Source organism: Homo sapiens, chromosome 7 (assembly GCF_000001405.40).
Source record: "Homo sapiens chromosome 7, GRCh38.p14 Primary Assembly".
Lineage (NCBI taxonomy): Eukaryota > Metazoa > Chordata > Mammalia > Primates > Hominidae > Homo > Homo sapiens.
In genome coordinates, this window is record NC_000007.14 from 56,596,336 (window position 1) to 56,618,632 (window position 22,297).

A 22,297-nucleotide genomic window follows, 5' to 3' on the forward strand; every position below is an offset into this window, starting at 1 on the left:
CAGGAGTTCGAGATCAGCCTGGCCAACATGGTTGAAACCCCGTCTTTACTGAAAATACAAAAATTAGCTGGGCGTGGTGGTGGGTGCCTGTAATTCCAGCTACTCAGGAGGCTGAGGCAGAAGAATCACTTGAACCCAGGAGGCAGAGGTTGCAGTGAGCTAAGATCACACCACTGCACTCTAGCCTGGGTGACAGAGCAAGACTCTGTCTCAAAAAAAAAAAAAAAAAAAGTGAATGAATATAGTAGGAACCCAAGGACTGTCTAAGGGTAGGTAGTAAGTCTGCCATCACCAGAAGTATTTAAATGCTGGCTAGACAATCACACTGTGGGAATAAGTTTCACTCTTTGTAAAAGGGGTAAATCTTTTTCTTTGGCACCCACAGATCTAGTGAAGATCTTAGCATACAGTAGATACACAGCAACTTTTGTTTACTAAATAAACTTTATTTTCATACAGATTACTGGTAAGCAAAATATTGATATAACTCTAAGACATTAAGGATATCAGAAGACCATTCATGTTCTTTATGGGGTTCCAATTAAGAAATAAGTTGAAAAATCAGGCAAAGAAAGGAGTTCTGATGCTCCTAAGTAGCATCAGAACTATTCTGATGGACTTAAGCCATTGTAAGAGTCCCAGTTTGATTCCTACCAAAAGTCTCTTTCCATGAACATTATGCTTACAATCAGACAGATATAAAGCACCACTAAAGCAAACACAAACTCAAACACTCTTAAAATTTAGGTGTACATCTCATTTGAAAATTATTCAAAAGCGAGACTTAGGAAGACTGGTTGATGCATTTGGGTTGTAGCTAGGCTTTTTCTTTTCTTTCTCTTTTAAAACATATCTAGGACAAGGAAAAACAAGCCTCGGATCTGATTTTTCACTCCTTGTTCTTGTGCTTGGTTCTTTCTGTGTTTGTGTATTTTAAAGGTGAGAAGATGAGAGCAACAAAACCAGCTGGATCCATCCATCACCATGGGTGGTTTTAATTTCTCGTTCTTCTCGTTAATTTTTTTAAACAACCATTCTTCACAATGAACAAACTGTATATCGGAAACCTCCACGAGAACGCCGTCCCCTTGGACCTAGAAAGTATCTTCAAGGACGCCAAGATCCCAGTGTTGGGATCCTTCCTGGTGAAGACTGGCTATGCGTTCATGGACTGCCCAGAGGAGAGCTGGGCCCTCAAGGCCATCAAGGTGCTTTCAGGAATTGACGCTGTATAATCCAGAACGCACCATTACAGTTAAAGGCAATGTTGAGGCATGTGCCAAAGCTGAGGAAGAGATCATGAAGCAAATAAGGGAGTCATATGAAAATGATATTGCTTCTATGGATCTTCAAGCACATTTAATTCCTGGATTAAATCTGAACGCCTTGGGTCTGTTCCCACCCACTTCAGGGATGCCACCTCCCACCTCAGGGCAGCCTTCAGCCATGACTCCTACCTACCCGCAGTTTGAGCAATCAGAAACGGAGACTGTTCATCTGTTTATCCAGGCTCTATCAGTCGGTGTCATCATCGGCAAGCAGGGCCAAGCACATCAAGCAGCTTTCTCGCTTTGCCGGAGCTTCAATTAACATTGCTCCAGCAGAAGCACCAGATGCTAAAGTGAGGATGGTAATGATCACTGGACCACCAGAGGCTCACTTCAAGGCTCAGGGAAGAATTTATGGAAAAACTAAAGAAGAAAATTTTGTTAGTCCTAAAGAAGAGGTTAAACTTGAAGCTTATATCACAGTGTCATCCTTTGTTGCTGGCGGAGTTATTGGAAAAGGAGGCAAAACGGTGAATAAACTTCAGAATTTGTCAAGTGCAGAAGTTGCTGTCCCTCATGACCAGACACCTGATGAGAATGACCAAGTGGTTGTCAAAATAACTGGTCACTTCTATGCTTGCCAGGTTGCTCAGAGAAAAATTCAGGCAATTCTGACTGAGGTAAAACAGCACAACAGCAGAAGGCTCTGCAAAGTGGACCACCTCAGTCAAGATGGAAGTAAAGACTCAGGAAACAGCCCACCACAGAGGCAGATGGCAAACAAAAGACAGATTGCTTAACCAACAGACAGGCGCTGACCCCCTATCCAGAATCACATGCACAAGTTTTTACCTAGCCAGTTGTTTCTGAGGACCAGGCAACTTTTGAACTCCTGTCTCTGTGAGAATGTATACTTTATGCTCTCCGAAATGTATGACACCCAGCTTTAAAACAAAACAAAAAGAGGGTGGGGGAGGGAGGGAAAGAGAAGAGCTCTGCACTTCCCTTTGTTGTAGTCTCACAGTATAACAAATATTCTAATTCTTAATATTCCCCCATAATTCCAGAAATTGGCTTACTGATGCTTTCACTAAATTCAAGTAGATTGCTCCTAAATTCAATTGTTAAAATTGGATCAGAATAATTATCACAAGAACTTAAATGTTAAGTCATTAGCATAGAAAAACTGTTCTCAGTTTTATTTTTACCTAACACTGACATGAGTAACCTAAGGGAAGTGCTGAATGGTGTTGGCAGGTGTATTAAACATGCATTTTTATTCAACTACCTCAGGTATTCAGTAATACAATGAAAAGCAAAATTGTCCCTATTGGGCGAAATTCATCCCCGATATTTCATGTAGGTTGTTTTCTATTTTCCCTAAGTGTCAGCTGGTCTGAGAAATAAAGGGACAGAGTACAAAAGAGAGAAATTTTAAAGCTAGGTGCCCGGGGGAGACATCACATGTCAGCAGGTTCTGTGATGCCCCGAGCTGTAAAACCAACAATTTTTTATTAGTGATTTTCAAAAGGGGAGGGAGTGTATGAATAGGGTGTGGGTCACAGAGATCACATGCTTCACAAGGTAATAAGATATCACAAGGTAAATGGAGGCAGGGCGAGATCACAGGACCACAGGACTGGGGCGAAATTAAAATTGCTAATGAAGTTTCAGGCAGGCATTGTCATTGATAACATCTTATCAGGAAACAGGGTTTGAGAGCAGACAACCGGTCCGACCAAAATTTATTAGGCGGGAGTTGCCTCGTCCTAATAAGCCTGGGAATGCTACGGGAGACTGGGGCTTATTTCATCCCTACAGCTACGACCATAAAAGACAGCCGCCTCCAAAGCCCTCAGGGACACATTTTCTTTCTCAGGGATGTTCCTTGCTGAGAAAAAGAATTCAGTGGTATTTCTCCCATTTGCTTTGAAAGAAGAGAAATATGGCTCTGTTCCACCCAGCTCACCAGCAGTCAGAGTTTAAGGTTATCTCTCTTGTTCCCTGAACATTGCTGTTATCCTGTTCTTTTTTCAAGGTGCCCAGATTTCATATTGTTCAAACACACATGCTGTACAAACAATTTGTGCAGTTAACACAATCATCACAGGGTCCTGAGGTGACATACATCCTCCTCAGCTTATGAAGATGATGAGATTAAGAGATTAAAGACATAGGAAATCACAAGGGTATTGATTGGGGAAGTGATAAGTGTCCATGAAATCTTCAAAATTTATGTTCAGAGATTGCAGTAAAGACAGGCATAAGAAATTATAAAAGTATTAATTTGGGGAACTAATAAATGTCCATGAAATCTTCACAATTTATGTTCTTCTGCATGGTTTCAGCCGGTCCCTCCATCTGGGGTCCCTGACTTCCGGCAACAGTTCCTTAATTTTTGAAAATTTTATATACTTTATAATGATAGAAGTCCAATCATTTTTTAAAAAATAAATTTAAAATGTAACAGAATCAGCTAACAGGCAAATTAAGAATTTTACTTCTGGCTGATGACAGTAAAGCTGGAAAATTAATTTCAGGGTTTTTTGAGGCTTTTGACACAGTTATTAAAAAATCAAATGTTCAAAGATATGGAGCAGTGCCTAATATCTGGAGAGCAGCAATACCATTTATTCTTTCATTTATAGTTGAAAACGTTGTTGATGGTACTAACAAAGTGGTGGCAGGAGGCTTTGGAACGGCTGGTTTAAATGGCTTTAGGAGACTTCAGTTTTTTGTTTAGCTACATGATTGAATGCATAATAAATGCTGTGTGTTTTTGACCCTTAATACCTAGAGAAAGTGCATCATTGAAGAGATGCAGGACTTTCAACTGATTGGCAAAAAGCAAGCTTTAGCTTGTCTTACAGGTTGCTTAGTTTGCCAGTACACTTCAGACCAATGGGACAGTCATAGATGGTGTGACAGTGTTTAAAGGCAACAAAAGGCACATCTCCATGTGGCTGGCACTGTCATGAGCCTCACTAAACTATTTTGAAGATTTTTAAGCAATGATAAATTTTAAAAAAATTAGACTCTGCCTAAAGTAGTATATAAAGTATAGCAGGATTTCTGTATACTCTGCAATCAGTTCTTTTTTTAAAAAAGTCAAAAGGTAGAGAATACAAGAAAAGTTTTTGGGATATAATTGGAATGACTGTGAAAACATGACCTTTGATACTGAACTCATTTGCTCACTCCTTAACTGGACAGCAAAGTCCAGTATGTACAATTGTGTTGGGTGTGGGTGGTCTCCAAGGCCACACTACTCTCTGAATTGACTTTGAGTTTTGTTTGTAAGATGATCACAGTCATGTTACACTGACCTGAAGGATATATATCCCTTTAAAAAAATCACTCTGCCTCATTCTTATTTCAAGATGAATTTCTATACAGACTAGATATGTTTTTCTGAAGATCATATCAATTAGACATTTTGAAAATGATTTAAAATGTTTTCCTTAATGTTCTCAGAAAACAAGTTTCTTTTGTAGTTTTAATCAAAAAAGTGCCCTTTTTGTCACTGGATTCACCTAGCATTCATAATTTTTTTTCATACAATGAATTAAAATTACTAAAATCATGGACTGGCTTTCTGGTTGGATTTCAGGTGAGATGTGTTTAAGGCCAGAGCTTTTCTCAATATTTGATTTTTTCCCCCAATATTTGATTTTAAAAAAATATACACATAGTTGCTGCATTTATATCTGCTGGTTTAAATTCTATTATATTTCACTTATAGCCTTTTAGTATGGCAAATGATATTTTACTTTTACTTAAGCATTTGTAATTTGGAGTATCTGGTACTAGCTAAGAAATAATTCTATAATTGAGTTTTGTACTCATCATATATGGATCATTCCTCATCTATAATGTGCCCCAAATGCAGCTTCATTTTCCAGATACCTTGACGCAGGATAAAGTTTTTCATCATTTAGGTGCCAAAAAAAAAGAAAAGAAAACTATTCAAAAGCTCAGGCAATCTATAAGAAATCTTTTCTTTGCCTCTTAGTATCAAGAAATTAAAAAGAAAGGAGAAAAAGAAGTGGGTAGGAGGAAACCATTTAATTATTTTAACAGGTAAGATAATAACATTGATTTTTCTCTGTTACATAAGAACTTTTCATGCTTCATCCATGCCAGGTACATAATTTTTAACCAACTAAAACACATTACAAGTAAAGAAAAAGCTAAAAACATAAAAAACATGTACATAACTCTTTAAAGGGTAGGGAACATGCCCTGTTCATAAACATTGCTTAATCCAGCATTCCAATATCAGTGAGGCATCAGCATCCACCCAGCTATAAAAGCCAAGATCAGAAAGTCATCCAGCACTTCTCAACACCATTCCATTAGCAAGTTTTTCCTACCTCTTCTATCAAATCCATCTGACCTCCCATCTTTACTGCCTCAATACTCTAAGCCACCACTGCTTTTCAAAGTTTTCATAAACTAGCCTTCTAACTGATCTTCCAAAGAGAAGGCCAATTATTATTTCCTCTTACAAGGTCCATTTTCTACTCTGGGTAAAAATAGTCCTTAACATGTAAATCTCATCATGCTGCTTTTTTTTTTTTTTTTTTTTTTTTTAGGTGCAATTTCCCTCTTGTTGCCCAGGCTGGAGTGCGATGGCATGATCTTGGCTCACTGCAACTTCTGCCTCCCGGGTTCAAGTGATTCTCCTGCCTCAGTCTCCTAAGTAGCTGGGATTACAAGCATGCGCCACCATGCCTGGCTAATTTTGTATTTTTAGTAGTGATGGGGTTTTTCTATGTTGGTCAGGCTGGTCTCAAACTCCTGACATCAGCTGATCCGTCTGCCTCGGCCTCTCAAAGTGCTGGGATTACAGGCTTAAGCCACCGCACCTGGCTGATAATCATGCTGCTTTTTGGCCCAACACTTTTCACAGCTTTCCAGAGTTCTTACAAGCCTGCTCTAGTCCCTACCTTCTTCACCATTCCTGTCATTTACTTCATTCAGTGTTTTTTTCTTGTTCCAAACACACTGTACTTCTCTCACTTCCCTGGACACGTCCACCTTTTCAACCTTAGGGCTTCTGTACCAGCTGTTCTCGGAAGCATTCTTTACCTCCTGTCACCCATCCCTCAGATATTAGTTAAAATGTCACTTCCACGGGATGCCTTCCTTCACCTGCATCCCAGCACATACTTAACTTTTAGCAGTTAACACAGATATAAATAACCTCTTCATGGCTGGATGAGTCTCTTTCAATGTGACATATCATCTATGAGACTAGCAACTGTCTTATCTTTATACCAGTCTGTGGCCCAGGGGTTGGAGACCCCTGATGTAGGGCAGTTGCATTTATTACCAGTGCACCTATGTTGTATAGTGCCTGGCATACACCAGGTAGCCAATAAACAGCTATTGATCAAATGCAGGACTAATACGGTAAGACTTATTTTTTCTCTTAAAAAAGAAAAAAATGCTTTAGATAAAGGCCACATGGTGTACCTGTGTCAGATGCAAATAAGACCTCAGGAGTCTGCCTGAAGAAACTTAAAATAAAAGATCCTTTCATCAAAAGGTTACTTGTTGGATGGTGTAACAAGTTAGGAATGGGTGCAGCACCTGTACCAGCTCAGTGAGATTCATGTTCCCATCACATAACAAACACGTGTCTGCCATAAGGGCTTAGAGTGTGAATTTCTGATGAGAAATAAAATGGTATCTAGAAAACCCCAGAGAGGGTTCCTCCCCTGGCTCATGGGGAGGCAGGCTCGGCCGGGCCCGCGGAGCTGCAGCAGTCCTTAGCGCCCTCCTCGCCCTCCCCACTGACATCATGCTCCAGTTCCTGCTTGGATTTACATTGGGCAATGTGGTTGGAATATATCTGGCTCAGAACTATGACATACCAAACCTGGCTAAAAAACTTGAAGAAATTAAAAAGGACTTGGATGCCAAGAAGAAACTCCCTAGTTCATGAGACTGCCTCCAGCACTGCCTTCGGGATATGCTGATTCTACTGCTCTTGAGGGCCTCCTTTACCATCTGAACTAAAAGTTTTTGTTTTTATCTCCAGCCTCAGTGCTCCTCTTCTTTGCTAGACTCTGTGTTTTTTGCTTTAGCGCAAGCAAAATGGGGCCCCAATTTGAGAACTACCCTACATTTCCAACATACTCACCTCTTCCCATACTCCCTTTCTAACTGCATGGGAGGTTCTAAGACTGGAATTATGGTGTTAGATTAGTAAACATGACTTTTAATGAGTAGTATCTTCTTTATTGTTTCCGATTTTTACTACATTTTGTCAAGAGAAAAATTAATGAGTTTTGTATAGCTGGTCAGATACAAATAATAGTGACTTTGACTTCACAGTTTAGCCATTATAATGGGTACTTGTTCAACATTTGGTACTAAATTATGTTGCTGCAAAGTAATTAAAATTAATATCTAGAATAAAAATAAAAAAGAAAAGAAAACCTCAGAGAATGACATTCTATATACCAGTATATATAGCATCGGTGGCATTTTTTAAAGTATCACACATCCAGCAAATCCTTTAAAAAACAAGACACCCTAATATGCAACCAGTTTAGCCATATTTTTAAGAATGATAAGACAGTGTAACTTCATGTACCTGAAATGGAGCACAGGATCCTTTCGAAGGAATTCATACCCATTCCTGCAGAAGTTCTGTGGAATCTTGAATGTAGCACTGAACTAAGTGATTTTTGTTTTTTCAAAGAGGTTTCAGCCAAGACTTTGGTCTCTAACCTCAGACTCCCTAATTAAACTATGGCTTCAAAACTGTACCTGCCTAATTTCAAGTGCTTTTTCAAAAGCACCAAATCTAGAGGATGCTTTTGACGAGTGTGAAAAAATGAAACACAATCACATCCTTCTCTTTGCAGTTCTCTTTCCCTCACCTTCCACTTCTATTAAACTTCCTTCAGAATAATCGTGCACAGATTTAGAGACAAGTATGTATCCGGGTGGGGGCGGGGGGGAGCCCTCTCATGCACCTGTAATCCCAGCTACTTGGGATGCTAAGGCAGGAGAATCACTTGAACCCGGGAGGCAGAGATTGCAGTGAGTCGAGATCGCACCACTGCACTCCAGCCTGGGCGACAGAGCGCAACTCTGTCAAAACAACAACAACAACAACAACAACAACAACAAAAACCCTCTCAAATATATGTGAGTGCACTGAAAACTCTGCCTTTGCAGAAATCATTTTAAGTTAAGACAGAAATTTCTCACTATTTTCAGCATCCTTATTCAACGGGCAGTTTGTTTCCATTGACTTTGAAAGGGCTAAGCTTAAATTTAAACTCTTAAAAACGAGAGATCAATTTTCTATTAATAAAAATCCCGGACAGGTTTTTCAACCTATCAAATAGTTATATTTTTAATTCACCCTTCTATCTCTCTCTGCAACCACGATCATCACCACCCACAAAAGAAGAAGAAAATCCCTCCGATGTTCCCCAAGTATGTGCTGGTGCTAGCTCGGAAGCTGTGCAGAGTTTTGTAATGGAATGTGAATTGCTACGGCGGATCTGGATTTCGGTTCTATCTCCTAAGCAATAAGCAGAGAGGGAGGACAAATCGGCTAAGCAGGAAATTTTCTTTCCTTCTCTACATAACCTGACTAATGCAAAGCTGACAAGGGTCGCCAGCAGCACATGGCACCTGCCAAGCGGCCCGCTGGCAAGTGTGTTCCGTGCTGGGTAAGTCTCCTCCCTTCCTGGAAAGGATAGCGCCCCGCTGAGCAGTGGGATCCGCCGCCAAGCCCCGGCCTCACAGTTGGCCAGGTAGTGGGTCACATCCTCAATGCGTTCTTGGCTCAGAAAACATGCCGCTTCCCAGGGAGGGAGTCGGCGACGGGAAGGACCTCACCCCTGCTTCTTAGCAAACATTAGGGTCGCAGTTTTCTAACAGTGGGGAGGGGGCGAGGCCCCCCCCCCCCCGCCCGGCAAAGGCTGTTGCTAGGGGCAGAGGTAGCGACACTAGACTGTGGGCCGGTATGAGAGGAGGAAGGGAAGCCCCGCAACCAGCGACAAATTGTTCCAGCGTGGCGGGGGCGGTGGCTCAAGCCTGTAATCTCAGCACTTTGGGAGGCTGAGGTGGGCGGGCCACTTGAGGTCAAGAGTTGGAGACCAGCCTGGCCAACATGGTGAAACCCCTCTCTACTAAAAATACAAAAATTAGCCAGGCATGGTGGCATGCGCCGGTAGTCTCAGCTACTCAGGAGGCTGAGGCAGGAGAATCGCTGGAACCCGGGAGGCAGAGGTTGCAGGGAACCAAGACCACACCACTGCACTCCAGCCTGGGTGACAGAGTGACACTCCTCCTAAAAAGAAAAAAAAAATGAACAGTGGGAGAAGGACACCTGCCTTTTTTCCGGGTTCACCATGGCACCCAGCACCTAGCCCCCCACCTCATGCAAGGAAGGTGCACTCCACACCAACAGTTTTCAGTAAAACATGCACCCTGCCAATGGAAGTTCAAAGAACAATAGGTGACCCCATGACCAGGCCCTGGCCCCCCTTCTTTCCTGGGTACCTTAGGTGGTAGTCAGTCACACCACAACTGCCAGCCAGGACAGGGCCAGGATGCAGGGCTGCCTGCTGCCCCCTTGGCGCCGCCAATGTCCTCTGCCCAGGAGGATCAAAGTCCACAGAGCAGAGCACAGCAGATGCTCCTACCAAGCACCTTCGCAAGAGCACCCCAGGAGGCCGCCTCCTAGCTGGCACCCCGATACTTTGTGGCTGCAGTGGAAAGCAGACACCCTAGTCTCCAGGCTTCCCTGTCAGGGAGGGACTGGAAAGAACATAAGAGAAAAGTTCCTCCTTCCACAGGGGGAAGGATGCCAGGACAGAAGGTGGGGAGTAGCGTCAGGAAGATGTTTCTGCCCTACAAGACTTGCACCATCGAATCCTACAAAAAAATATAAATTCACCCTAGTATTCTGGGAGGCCAGAAGCCCCTATTTTAACTGAAGGCCACAATGACGTTTTGGATCCCCTGGAATTAACATCAGCTCAGAGCCAGTGTCCAGTAGTCCCCAAAATGTCTGGACATTTTCCTTTCCCAAATGCACAGTTACCCTGGTAAAGGGCCGGAGGTCTCCTTGGAGAAGGATGGGAGAAAGATTCACTGCTTAAATTGTCGGTAATGTAGTGGAGTCCCCCCTCAAGACAACCCGGCCTCCCTTTCATTCAAGAGGTTCTGGGTCTGTAAACTGGCTAAAGTCTGGAAATTGATTGAGGCGCCATGATTCTCTGATTTTATAATTCAAATTAGTCATTTGTCCATTTGCCCTAGAAGTTTTCTCCTTATATAAATTAAGTAAGAATGCAGTAGGCTTCTTATCAGTTTCACTTCTAGGAACACGGTGTTTAATTAGCCAATGCCGGAGCTCTACACAAGTCAGACTATTCTGACTGCCATTTTGCCTCTGCTGTCCATTATGGTAACTACACCCACCCTGCCTTTGATGGCTGAGTGTCACCACTTGGTCCCTGCCACCTCGGGATCCAATTATTCCCATTGCATTTAAAATTTGTGGCTGAGTGACTGCAGTTCCCACCATTAGATCTGACCTCAATTGGATCATCAGATGGTAATTTGAAAAGGAAGTGATTACCTTCAGTTCTCTGAGTAGGAAGAAAAGAATTACCTCAATTAGATGGTAATTTGAAAAGGAAGTAATTACCTTCAGCTCCCTGATTTCTAGAATTTGTAACATTTCACCCCCTGCTTTTTCCTGGTCTGCAGCAGAGCATCTTCTGTTTCCGCTCTGCTCAGAGTCCACTTTCCCTTCCCTGACAACCAGCTTCACTGAGGCTGGTTTAAACCTAACACAAAACATTCTCACTAATTAATGAATTCCCACAAGGAATTCCATATAGATATTGTATGATCTTAATCTTCTAAGACATGAAATATTTGTTTTCATCATAGGCAAGATGCAATGTAAATCCTATCACAGATGTAGGTTATATACCTCTGAAATTCCTGAGCTATTTATTGAAATAGCATCTTTCAAGTTCTTTGTAGAAATTTTTTTCTGATTTCTGCACACAGAATAGAAACAAAAACTGTACTAGGATTTTGATAGAAACAATGGGTGATCTAAAAAGATGAAAGAGCAACCACATCTATCCCACAGCCACTGCTTGGTTTCATGGGAAAAGTAGCTGGCCCACTTCAGAGCTAGGAGAAATGTCAAACACATGAAGAAATGAGAAGTGATGAAACATTGTGAGTCACCCACAACGTCCCTGCTTAGAAGATAATGGGATAGATGACTAGATGACAAGGAGAAAGATGAGAAGGTGCAAAGATGTCCAAGTCAAACTGCTCGACTGAACTTTTCTTAATGGAATATTTAAAAAGTGGTACAATAAAAAACTTTCTCCAATTTACAGTGAAAATTCTCTGTTCAGAAGTAAGTGGGGTAGAGACTGTTTAATGTGCGTAGATATCTTTATAACTTACATATTTTCTGTTTTCTACATATCTTGAGGGGCAGTGCTAAATGATGTGCAATTATCTGGGTTGTAAATATAAAACATACTTCCTCTTCCCTTGAATATAAAAAATCACTGTGGTATTAGTATATTTTTATAGATCATTGTTCAGAAGAAGGTTCAGCCCCCAGACACCCAGACATTCTTACTATAATGAACAGCAAGAGAAAATGTAGAGCTCAGTTTATCCAATAAACAAAAGGCTTAAAAGCCAAATTATGGCACAACTTAGCAGCCAAATTCTTACCAAGTACAGACTTTTGACATACTGATCTCTCTCCAATTGCAACCGGGAACATGCACTTTGAATAATGTCATTTGAAATGATCACTTATTACCCTGTCCAGACACACTCCTTAGTTATTATTTGGAGGGTTTTCTCTTCCTCATGAGATGCAATGCAGTTCTTTTTTTACCTTCCTGCAGTTTGTCGCCTCTTCCCTACAATCTCAGAGGAACTTTGTCTCAGGCCAATTGTTTGTTCCTTGAGTTCTTTCATTTCCCCTAAAAAATCAAGTGGTGCTCCTCTAAGTTACCTATATCTTCATCTCCCTCTCCCCTGAGAAGAGGGTGCTCTTTAAGTATCAAGAATCTGGCTCTTCTTGCAGTCTCATTTTTTGGCTGGCTCCTATGTTTATGCCTATTAATAAGGTTGTATGTTTTTCTTCTCCTGTTAAGCTGTCTGCTGTCAGTTTATTACTGCAGTGAACCTTTAGAGAAGAGAGTAGAAGCTTTCCTTCCACCCATACTATAGAACTATAAGGCAGAAAAGTTTAGAAATAATTTTCTATTTAAGTGGTGAAACTTCATACTTCATTTCTGATAAAGAACACAAAGGAAAAAAACTTATTTTTAACCAAAAACTCTGTTGACATTCTATTAAATGAACACCAACCTATTTAATTTTCATAATGTTAATGGCAGTTTTTTAATAATTCTTATGCTAATAAATCTTTTCCCTGATTTTTTTTTAAAAAACCCAATATTCATAATGATAATGGCTTCTGATAAGATTCTTACACGGTTTGCTCAGGATTTAATTGTATGTCCTTGGAAACACCTTAATTTTAAATATTTCTTTCAAGATGGTGAATTAAACAGAGATAGCCATTCAATAGGTAGGACTAAACATATGCTGAGTCCTAAATTGAAAGAATTAGAAATACATGCAACAATGGGAATAATTTCAGAAACATTGTGTTGAGCAGAATAAGGTAGACAGAAAAGAGTATCTGTGTCATGGCCTGCATCTATATACGTGAAATTCCAGATTAAGCAAAATTAACCTATGATGAGAAAGGGATTGGCTGGGAAGAGGAGAGTTTACTTTCTGGGGTGACATAATATTGTAGATCTAGAAAGGGGGTGAAGGTATGCTGGTTTCAAAGTTAGTAAACTCACACTTAAGATTTGTATATTTTCTTTTGTGTCACTGTTCCTTAGAAGAAAATTTTATTTAAAAAAAATACTGAATTCCAGTTAACATTAGTCTTGCTAAACTATTCAGCATGAAGTATGTTGATGTCTCCAATTTAGTTGGAAATATATCTAAAATAAGATGGGGTGATGAGTGGATGGAGGAATGGAAAGATGGGTAGATATGTGTTAAGTCATGTTCATTAAAATGTTAACAAATCAATGCTGTATGTATGAACATTTTTATAATAAAATGTTGACGGTAATTGCAAAACTCACTTGTCTCATGTCAGTAATTTTTCCTTTTAACATGAGTTCCAAAATAATTATTATTAATGTTCTACATGTTTGAACAATTTTAAACACAATATCAATTGGATATTTTCCCTGTCAATTGATCATGGAGTTGCAAAATGCAAGGAGACACAGAGAAATCTTGCAGAGGTGCTGCTTTCTGGGTTTTGGTTTTCAGGACAAAGACCAAAAGGAAAAATTAAGCCTCATGTCTCTTTCTAAGGTAGAGGACAGACACACTGTCACGTGACCATGCAAAAGAATTTTACTTAGTAATAAAAAAGAACAAACTATTAATATTTAAAACAATGTGGATCAATGCGAAAATGATTCTGCTGACTTTACAGAATCCACAACAACAAAAATACCTGTCCTGTATGATTGCATTACATGAAATGGCAGCTCAGGGTAAGGATAATAGAATGGAGGGAGGACAGATGAATTAGAAAGGGGGAGGAGAAAAGCTTGGAGAAGGAGGGATGTGTTTATTATCTTGAATCTGGAATATGGTGGTGCTTTCATTGCTGTATCTGTGTGTAAAAGTCAGCAAACTGTATTCTTTAAAAAGATGCTATTTACTGTACAGGACATTACACAACTTAAACTGTAGGAAGGAAATCTGATACCCGAACTATTAGTTTTTATTTATCTGACAAAAACATTGCAAATATTTTTAAAAAATAATTACAGGACTTTACCCGGAAATGTATAATTCAATTTAAAATGGAGATAATAAATACAAACTTACAATGGTCAGGAAGCCAACCTCTTCTTTTAAATATTTAGAATTTTGTCATACATTTTGTGTAATATACCCAAAAATATGCCTGCACTGTTTGGAAAAATGAGAAAAATATAAGAAAAAATCTTAAAGTTATAGATAAAAATATTACATAAAGATATGATTATATAGACACAAAACTGAGCATGGACAGCTGCTATAATAATAATACTTGGGATATATTTCAACAACAATAATCAGACTGTTGTTTAGTCCAAGTTTCTAAAACCATTAACCTTTAAAAATTAATGTTTACTTGCTGCTGAAAAGGGGACTTTTTGTTAGATTTTCAAAGTCCATAAATATTATCATAACATAGTCTTCTTGGAATTATGATTAACACTGTGAGAATTGAAATTAGTTAAAACACAACACCAAATCACCAATAACAAAAGCTCACCTTCACATGTTAGATCATTGCAACCAAAGCAAGCAATAGCAACTCTGAAAATCTATATGGAAAGAAATACAAACTTTCTGGAATGTATGGCCACCACCAAAAAAGGCACAGATATTATTTTACAAACACCAGGTTTACAAGTATTGAGAGGGAAAATAAATTCAAAATGTAATTTAGATCAATCCACACAACAAGACTCGGTTTTGTGCATATAAACCCTCTCTAAAAGCAGCCTCTGAGCTCTGTAGCACTTTTGTCTTTAGCCTCACTGTGCAGGTGAGTAAAGCCTGGGCCCATGGGAGGAACGTACTGTCTCTGAGTAGCCTCCATCTGAAAGCAAGCAGGAGTTCTGAAAACAATGGTTAAAGATGTGAATCAAATGCACAAGAAAAACAAACACTATCATAAGAGGTGGTGAAAGTCACAATCTTAACATTTAGCTGGGCCCTGTTATGAAACTCTCTATACCACCCAAAAAGTTTATACAATACACTTTCATGTTTTAAACTGTGTGAGCTTTGTACAAATATGCAACTCAGAACCTTACCTATTGCCCTAAGCCTAGCTATGAGAGGCAAATATCTCCTGTTGGTTGAATCTCAGTATAAGTTTAGTCATCAATCCTGGGAACTGAAGCGCGGTATATGTCATTATCCCATTTGTGGGCAAAATACTAGGCAGGGGGGTAATATCCTTTAGGTGTTGTCCCAAGCAACATGTTACAATGCCCTCTCTAGGCAGGCCCTAGGAAGGAGGGTAACATTAACTGGGTGCTGGACCTAGCAATAGGACACAATTCCACATGTGGAAAAAACCCAGCCAAGAGATAAAAGACAAAAAACCTACAGAATGGGCCCAAGATATGTCAAAATACCTTCTGTGGCTCCAGCACATGCAGGAGAGTCACATCATCAGGGTGCTGGGACTAGCAATATGTCATAATTCCCTCTTTATGCAGGACCCAGGCAGAAGAGTGACATCATCTGGGTGCTGGGCCCAGCAATATGTTAAAATTCCCTTTTTGTGGGCATGGTTCAGGAAAGAGGAGAGTCACATTACCTAAGTGCTGGACTCAGCAATATGTCACAATCGCCCCATTGTAAAGGCCCAGGTGGAAGAAGAGAGTCACATCACTTAGCTCATAGGCTCAGAGATATGTCCCAATGTCCCCAGTAGGCAGGGCTCAGGCAGAAAAGGGAAGTTGTATCACCTAGGTGCTTCTCTAGATGTATGTCACAATGTAACATGTGGGCAGAAACCAGGCAGAAGAGTCACATCACCTGGGTGCTGGGTCTTGAGGTATGTCACAGGCTACCTTAGGACAAGACCCAGGCAAGAGAGTTACATCACCTAACTTCAGGTTCCACCCTTATGTCACAATGCTCCATGCGGACATGGCCCAAGCAGGGTGTCACATCACCTAGGTAATATGCTCAGAGATATGTCACAACACCCTCCTTGGGGAATGGCCCAGGCAAAAGAATACCATCATTTCTTTGCCTCATCTAGTTAGATGTCATTATTCTCCCTGTGTGCAGGGCTTATTCGAGAGAGGAGAGGTACATCACCTAAGTGGTGGACACAGTGATATGTCACAATGATTTCAGTCATCATGGTGCAGGCAAGAATGTAACATCACCTGGGTGCTAGATCCAGTGATATGTCACAATCCCTACTGACAGAAGGGTCCAGGAAAAAGAGTTACATCACGTAAAGGCTGGTGCAGGTAGATATCACAATCCCTTATGTGGGCTGGAATTAGTCTGCAGAGTCAAATCACACAAGCGCTTGGCAAAAACTTATATGACAATCACACGGCAGAAAATTTCAGGAAAAAGATTTACTATACCATACACATCCTGTTTTTATATATGACAGTTGGCTTCATTCATGTGAGAGAGTAACAGTCTTTACTGTGAGCTGGGTGTGCATACGAGACTCACAATTTCACCTGTGTACTGGGCCATGTTATGACACTCTATACAATCCAAAAGCTTTATAAAATATGTGTGGGTATTATAGTCTTCTGTGACCTTTTTACCAGAAAAAGATCCAGGATATCACTCCTGTCCCTAAACCTAGTTATGAGAGTCCAAATTTTCCTACTGGCTGGGTCCACATATGACAGTCATTATCATGCCTGTGAGCTGTGCCTAGGTATATGTCACAATCCCCTCTGTGGTTTTGAGACAGAAAGGACAGCCACATCACCTAAATGCTGGGCCAGAAATATTCCAATATTATCCTTGTAGGCAAGGCCCTGGCAGAAAATTCGCATAACATGGGTGCTAGGCCCAGCTCTGAGGCACAATGCCTCTTGTGGGCAGTGTCCAGGCAGGATAGGAAATTCATGTCACTTAAATTATGGGCCCAGAGATACGTCACAATGCCTCATGCGAACAGGGTTCAGGTAAGAAAGTCATATCATTTGGAAGCAGTGCTTAGAAATGCTACAATCTCCACAGGAAGCAGGGTTCAGGCAGGAGAGGAGAATCATGTAACCTAGATGCTGGGTATAAAGGTATGCTACAATCCCCCGCTGAGGACACTGTTAAAACAAGAGAGTCAAATCACTAAGGAGCCTGGCCCTGGTATATGTCAAAATCTCATGTGTGTGCTAGACCTAAGAAGAGTTATTAAATCACTCAGGAGCTGGGCAAAGGTATATGTCACAAAAACACCTGTGGAAAGGCCCAGAGATGAGAGTCACCATTCTGAACATGTCCTGGCTTCAGGCATGAATACTGGTCTCAGGTTTATGGTGCAATATCACCTGTGGGCAAGGAGAAAGCAGAAAAGTCACATCGCCTGGGTGGGTGTGGGTCCAGTGAGATGTCACAATCCTCTTTATGGGCAGGAACCTGGCAGAAGAATCCATCACCTGGATGCTGCTTCCAGTGATACATCTAAATCCCCACTTTGTTCAGGACTTAGGCAAGAGAGGAGACACCTCACCTAGGCAATTGGTCTAGATATATGTCACAATGGCCCTTATGTGCAGTACTGAGGCAGGAGGGTGACCTCACATTGGTGCTGGGCCCAGCAATGTGTCAAAATCTTCCCTGTGGTCAAGGCCCAGGCAAAAGTGGAGAAACATCACCTAGGTTACAAAGCTTCCTGTTGGAAGAACCCAAAAAGGAGAGTCACATCACCTGGGTGCAGTACCCAGTTATGCGTCACAATGCAGCATAAGTGCAGGGACAAGGCAGTAGAAGGGAGTCACATCACTTACATGATGGACCTAGATATAAGCCACAATACTTTTTATAAGCAGGGCTCAGGCAAATAATTCACATTACCTGCGTGCTGGTCCTAGTAATACGTAAAAGTGCCCTTTGTAGGCAGGCCCAGGCACCTTCGCTTAGGTGTATGGTCCACGTATGTCAAAATTTCATCTATGGTCATGGCCTAAAAAGGAGAGTCAAATTATTCAGGAGCTGGGCTAACTTTTATGTCCTAATCACACACTTGGAAATATTCAGAAGTAAGTTTCACAGTCCCACTCAGGTCCTGGCTTCATGTATGTGAGTCAACACCTCCTGTGAGTTGGGTCAAAGCAGAGTCACAATCTCAACAGTGGGCAAGATCCATGTATAAGATGCCCAATCCCACCTGAAGATTGTGTTCCAGTAGGGGAGCCCCAACCTCACAGGTGTGCTGAATATGCATCACCAAACCACCTGTGGGTCAGATCTGTGTACGAGAGGAACAATTTCAACCTTCAATTGCTCTTTTGTGTGAGTTTTAGTACCTTGTATGTAGGCCCTGTTCTTGTGAGAGAATGACAATCGGGTCAGCTGGGTGAGCATCCAAGAGTCACAATCGCACCTGGTTGCTGTTCCCTGCTATGACACTCTTTGTACCACTCAGGCTTTATATGATGTGCCTGAGTGTCATAATCCTCTGTGAGCTTTATACAAACAGGGGACCCTTTACTTTACTTATGGCCATAGGACTGGCTATAAGAGTCCAAATATCTCTCCTTTCTGGGTCCAGGTATAATAGTTATATTTGTGCATGTGAGCTGAACGCAGGTATAAGTCACAATTTCACTTGTGGGCAGAAAAGAGGCAGGAGAGTCTCATCGCCTGGATTCTGAGCTCAGGATATATTATAATTTCCTTTGCAGGCAGGGCCAAGTCAGAAGAGTCACATCACCTGGATACAGCCTCAAGTCATGTGGTACCATGTCCACTGTAGACAGGGCTGAAGAAGAAGAGGAGAGTCACATCACCTAGCTGCTGGGCTCAGCAATATGTAACAATCCCCTCTTTTGGCAGACTCCAGAATAAAGAGGAGAGTTGCATTACCTAGGTTTTGCACTCAGTGGTATGTCACAATTCCTTTAGTGGGCAGGACCTAGGCAGGAGAGAAGAGTCACATTTCCTAGATGCTATGTCCAACGATGTCACAATGTTCCTTGGGGGCAAAGCACAGGAAAAGTAGGCAAATCACATAGCTGATAGGCTCAGAGATATGTGATAATATCCCTTGTTGGCAGGGCCCAGGCAGAAGAGTCACATTATTATGATTCTGACCCAACAATATGTCCCAATGCACACATGGGAAACAATTTAAGCAAAAGTTTTCACAGCTGGGTACTAGGCCCAGCGATATGACACAATCTCCTCATCTTTGAGGGTGACACCTTTAACTGTTAGCTAGGTGGGTATATGAGAGTCACAATGTCACGTGTGTGCTGGGCCATCATATGACATCCTCTACAACATCTGAGGGCTTTATACGGCATGCATGAGAGTTGCAAACTACTCTAAGGCCCACATGCTCATATGGACTCACAATCTTATATATTGCCTTAAACACAGGCATGATAGTCAACATCTCTCATTCAGGCTGAGTTCAGGAATGAGACCCATTTTTATCCCTGTGAGCTGGGTTCAAAAAAGAGTCACGATTGCACCTGTGGCCAGATCCACATATGAGAGTCACAATTCCATCTTTGTACTCTTTTCAATTGTTAGACTCAGTACCTCAACAGTGGGCTTTTTAAATGTGGGATGGTGACAACTGTTACTTTCACTTGAGTGTGTAATTGACAGTCATAATCTTAACTTTTTGCTGGGCCTTGTTATGAAGCTCTCTGTACCACCTAAGGAGTTTATACAATATGAATCAGTGTTGTAAACTTCTGTGAGCTTTGCACAAATATGCAACCGAGGATTTTACCTATTGCCCTAAGCCTAGCAATGAGAGGCAAAATACCTTCTATTGGCTGCATCCCAGTATAAGTTTGACCATCATGCCTATGGACTGAAGCAAGGTATATGTCATAATCCCATTTGTGGGCAAAAAATTAAGAAAAAGAGTAACATCACTTAGGTGATGTGGCAAGCAACGTGTCACAATGCCCTCTCTAGGCAGAACCTAAGAAGGAGGGTCACATTAACTGTGTGCTGGACCCAACAATATGACACAATTCCACATGTGGAAAAACTTAGCCAAGTGATGAGAGCCAAAACACCTACAGAATGGGCCAAAGATATTTCAAAATACTCTCTATGGCTCTGGCACAGGCAGGACAGTACCATCATCATGGTGCTGGGCCCACCAGTATGCAAAAATTCCCTCTTTATTCAGGACTCTGGCAGAAGAGTAACATCATCTGGGTGCAATAGGTCAAAATTTCCCTTTGACATGGTTCAGATAAAAGAGTAGAGTCAGATGACCTAAATGCTGGGCTCAGGAATATGTCAAAACCCCACCATTTTAAAGGCCCTGGCAGAAGAAGAGAGTCCTATAACTTAGGCCATGGGCTCAGAGACATATTCCAATGTCCCCAGTAGGCAGGACTCAGGAAGAATAGGAGAGTCATATCACCTAGGCACTTCTTTAGGTATATGTCACAGTCTAACACATGGGCAGAAACCAGGCAGAAGAGTCACATCACCTGAGTGCTGGGTCCTGAGATATGTTGCAGGGCTCCCTTAGGACAGGACCAAGGTGAAAGAGTTACAACACCTTTGGTGCAGGTTTAACTTTTATGTCACAATGTTCTACGTCGGTGAGGCCCAAGCGTTGAATCATATCACCTCGGTGATAGGTCCAGAGATATGTCACAATGCCCTCCTTGAAACATAGCCCTGGAAAAAGAGTACCAACACCTGTGTGTCTGGCCTAGGAAGATGTCACTACCACTCCGTATTCAGGGTCCATTCCAGAGAGGAGAGTTACATCACCTAAGTGGTGGACACAGTGATATGTCACAATGATGTCTCTGTGCATGGTCCAGGCAAGAATGTAACATCACTTGGGTGTTAGATCCAGTGATATGTCACAACCCTTACTGAGAGAAGGGCCCAGGCAGGAGAGTCACATTATCTAGAGGTTGGCCCAGGTAGAGATCACAATCCCGTATATATGGGCTGGAACCAGTTTGGAGAGTCAAATCACACAGATGCTTGGCAAAGATTTATATCACAGTCACACTGAGAGAATATTCGAGATGAGATTTACAATACCACACATGTCCTCTTTTCATGTGTGACAGTTGGCTTCATGTATGTAAGATGGTGACAGTCCTTACAGTCAGCTGGGTGTACATATGAGACTCACAATTTCTCCTTTCTGCTGGGTTCTGTTCTGACACTCTCTGTACAAGCCAAGGGCTGCAAATTATCTGAGGCTGTTATAATCTTCTGTGACCTTTTCGCCAGAAAGAGATCTAAGACATCACTTATGTTTCTAAAGCAAGTTACAAGAGTCAAAATTACTCCTACTTGTGGGGTCCACATATGAGAGTCATTATCATGCCTGTGAGCTGTGCCTAGGTAAATGTCAAAACTTACTCTGTGGTAATGAAAGGCATGACAGCCATATAACCTATATGCTGAGGCAGAAATGTTCTGATGTTCTCCTTGTAGGCAAGTTCCTGGCAGAAAAGTAACATAACTTCGGGGCTATGCCCAACTGTATGGCACAATGCCCCTTGTGGGCAGTGTCCAGGCAGAAGAGGAGAGTCATGTCACATAAATGATAGGACCAGAGATATGTCACAATGCCTTCTGTTGAAAGGGCCAGGCACGTATCATTTCTGATTATAGTCATTTTAACTGGAGTGGTTTGGTATCTTATTGTGACTGATTTGCATTTTTCTAATAATAATCTTGAGCATCTTTGCAGTACTTGGCCATTTGTATGTCTTCTTTGGAGAAATGTCACTTAAGGTCTCTTGCGTATTACTAAATTGTGTGTTATTTTTGCTGTTAAGTTATATGTTCTGTATGTTTATCCCTTGTCATATATTTTGCAAATATATTCTCTCACACTGTAAGTTGCCTCTTCACTCTGTTATTTTTGCTATGTATTTTTTTTTTTAATTCTGGTAATTTCACTTCTCTGCTTTTGCTTTTGTTGCCTGTGCTTTTGAGGTCTTATTTAAATTTTTTTTCCCTGTCCTATTGGAGAAAGAATTTTTCTGTTTTATTCAAATAGTTTTATGAGTTTAAGTTTTACATTCAAATCTTCTATTTATTTTTAATTAAGTTGTTTTAATATGGTAACAGGTAGGCACCTAGTTGTATTCCTCTGTATTTAAAAAAAATCAATTTTCCTAGCACCATTCATTGAAAATGTTGTCTTTTTTACATGTGTTCTAAACAACTTAAAAATTATTTGT

General features: G+C 41.1%; 1 long non-coding RNA gene and 2 pseudogenes across 4 annotated transcripts; 2 read left to right on the top strand and 1 right to left on the bottom strand.

Annotated features, from left to right (window-relative positions):
- IGF2BP3P2 (IGF2BP3 pseudogene 2) lies at positions 1,213–5,210 on the top strand (annotated as a pseudogene).
- On the top strand, positions 7,009–7,690 carry STMP1P2 (STMP1 pseudogene 2; annotated as a pseudogene).
- LOC105375291 (uncharacterized) lies at positions 16,490–21,677 on the bottom strand. Of its 4 annotated transcripts, XR_007060334.1 has the most exons (6): positions 20,570–21,677; positions 18,972–19,080; positions 18,820–18,867; positions 17,961–18,069; positions 17,617–17,778; positions 17,056–17,434 (listed from the first exon to the last, which is right to left on the bottom strand). It is a non-coding gene; the product is annotated as an uncharacterized LOC105375291 (long non-coding RNA). The 4 variants fall into 4 exon arrangements; XR_927286.3 differs by lacking the exon at positions 17,617–17,778 and having other exon boundaries at positions 16,490–17,434; positions 18,413–18,867; positions 20,570–21,674; XR_007060336.1 differs by lacking the exon at positions 18,820–18,867 and having other exon boundaries at positions 16,557–17,434.
- Positions 21,678–22,297: the final 620 nt, after the last annotated feature.